Raw genomic sequence first — 3028 nt, forward strand, 5'->3', positions numbered from 1 at the left:
ATTTCCTTAACTTGGTGAAGGCTATTTGCAGGAGATGGATAGGAAAAGAATCATGTTAAACATGAGGTGTTAAAAGCTTTCTCTGAAACCAAGAACTAGACAAAGATGATCTCCTTTTCATCTTTCTCTTCAGTATTGACAGCAGTTTCTAGCTTGTATCATGAGGTAAGAGAAAGAAATAAACAACATAGGGTTAAAAAGAAAGAAGTAAAAGTGCCATTATTTGCAGATGATATAATTGGGTGTCCGTATTAAAAGTCCAAAAGAATATTCAGATGAATAACTGGAATTAACGAGAGAATGCAGTACAGTTATTAGATACAAAATCAATATACGAAAAACAATTGCTTTTCTTTACACTGATAGTAAGTAACATTAAATAAAGATAGAAAAGGGAAATTTTAAAGGTGTAATTTACAATGACATCAAAAATATATGTGAAAGGAAAATATCTTGGGCCTCTTCAAGCTGGAACCGCTTAGGACAAATCTGCTTCCCATTCTATCCAAAGTCGTCTTTCTGCTCAGAGATACATGCATGTTCTGATGACCTCCTTTGGAAAGACTTATCAGAAACTCAAGAGAATGCAACCATCTGTCTCTCACCTACCTGTGACCTGGAAGCCTCCAGTTGGGGGAACTTGCTTTGAGTTGCCTCTGCCTTTCTGGACTGAACTGATGTACTTTTTACATATATCGATTGATGTCTCATGTCCCCCTAAAATGTATAAAACCAAGCTGTGCCCCGGCCACCTTGGGCACGTGTTGTCAGGACCTCCTGAGGCTGTGTCATGGGTGCATCTTCAAGCTTGGCAAAATAAACTCTAAATTAACTGAGACCTGGCTCAGATTTTCAGGTTTCACATATATAATACTTAGGAAAAATGTAGCAAAATATGTGTAAAATATTTATGAAGAAAATAATAAAAGAGAAATGTTTTCTGAAAAGACAGAGAGATATATTATGCTCAAGATGTTTGTGGAGCATAACACTCAAAAACATACTTTACCAGATGCTGATGTTAATTTCCCCTGAAATGACCTACAATTTTTTCCTAATTTTATTTAAAATACCTGCATCATTTGTGTGTGTGTGTAGAGTTTGACCGTCTGTTTCTAAAATGCACATGCAATGGCAAAGGTCAAAAATGGCAAATATTCTCTTGAAGAAAACAGCATAGAGCCACCAAGAGTTATCCTAAAGCTGGCCGGACATGGTGGCTCACACCTGTAATCCCAGCACTTTGGGAGGCCGAGGCTGGCAGATCACTTCAGGTCAGGAGTTTGAGACCAGCCCTCTGGTCAACATGGTGAAACCTCGTCTCTACTAAAAATACAAAAATTAGCTAGGTATGGTGGTGCATACTTGTAGTCCCAGCTACTCAGGAGGCTGAGGCATGAGAATCGCTTGAACCCGGGAGGTGGAGGCTGCAGTGAGCCGAGATTGTGCCACTGCACTCCAGCCTGGGCCACAGAGCGAGACCCTACCTCAAAAAAAAAAAAGTTATCGTAAAGCTGTCAGATATCACCACTTCTATTCAACATTGTCCTAGAGATTCTATTCAGTTAATAAGGCAAGAGACAGAAATAAAATATGTAAAGATTTCAAAGGGTGAAATGTGATTTTCATTATTTGCAGATGATACAATTATGTATATAGAAAATAAAATTAAAAACTCTACAAACTATTTGAATTCAGCAAGATGACTGGATACAAGACCAAATGCAAAAATAAATTGTACTTCCATATAATATTAACAAATACTTTGGAAATAAAATTATTAAAAATATCGGTTAAATAACACCAAATACCAAGAATGAAAATAATTTTTAAATGGCTAAGATCGCTCCACTCAACACCGTAAAATATTGATGACAAGTGTTAGAGACTTCAGTGAATGGAGAGTTATCCTGTGTTCATGGATTCGAAGTCTCAATATTGTAAGGACATCAATTCTCCCCAAATTGATCCCAGTCAAAATCACAACATTGCTATGGAAATTGACAAGCTGATTCTAAATTTTCTATGAAACTGCAAAGAATTTAGGACAGTGGAGAGGAAGATGCGAAACCAGGCCAGGGGACTTCTGCTGCCAGACGTCAAGACACGCTACAAAGTTATAGTAGATAAGACAGCATTGCCTTGACACGAGAACAAATGAGTGGTTCCATGGAAGACAGTTGAGGGCCCAGAAACACAGGCATGCTGTTCTCATACTTAGCGACAAGTCCTCTGCAATTCAATGGGGGAAAAGAAAAACCTTTTTCAATAAATGATGCTGGATTAATTGAATATCTAAATGGGAAAGAATAAACCCTGGCCCCCTACCTCATACCCATGCAAACAAATGGACTCAAAGTGAGCCAAAAATACAGTGAGATTTCTAGAAGAAAACATCGAACATCTTCATGATCTTTGGATCACCTAAGCTTTGTTAGGCACACACAAAAAAAATCCTAAAATAAAAGTTTGAGAAATTGGACCTCATTAATATTAAGAACTTCTCTTTATCAAAAGACATCATTAAGAGAGTAGAAAGGAAACTCACATATGAGGAGAAGATATTTGTAAAACACATGTCCAAAAAAGAACTTGGAAAAGAATATATAAAGAATCCTATAAATCAATTTTAAAAAGGTAGTCAACTCAATATTTTTAAATGGGCAAAAACCAAACAGACACTTCTCAAAAGAAGACATACAAATAGCCAATTAATATATTTTAAAAGTTGCTTAACACCATTAGTCGTCCAAGAAATGCAAATTAAAACCAGCGTGAATTATTCCTACATACCTATCAGAATGGCTAAAATTAGATAATAATAAATGCTAGAAAGGTTTTAGAACAACTTGAATTCTCATATTGGAGTTGGTGGAGTGAAAAAAATGATCCAACACTTTGGAAAACTCTTCAGTGGTATTCTCTATGACGCAGCAATTCCATTCTTAGGTATTTATCCAACGGAAATAAGTGCATAGATCCACCAAAAGCCATATCCAAGAATGCCTGTGGCAGCTATATTCATAAC

This window comes from Homo sapiens, chromosome 9, assembly GCF_000001405.40.
Source record: "Homo sapiens chromosome 9, GRCh38.p14 Primary Assembly".
Classification (NCBI taxonomy): Eukaryota; Metazoa; Chordata; class Mammalia; order Primates; family Hominidae; genus Homo; species Homo sapiens.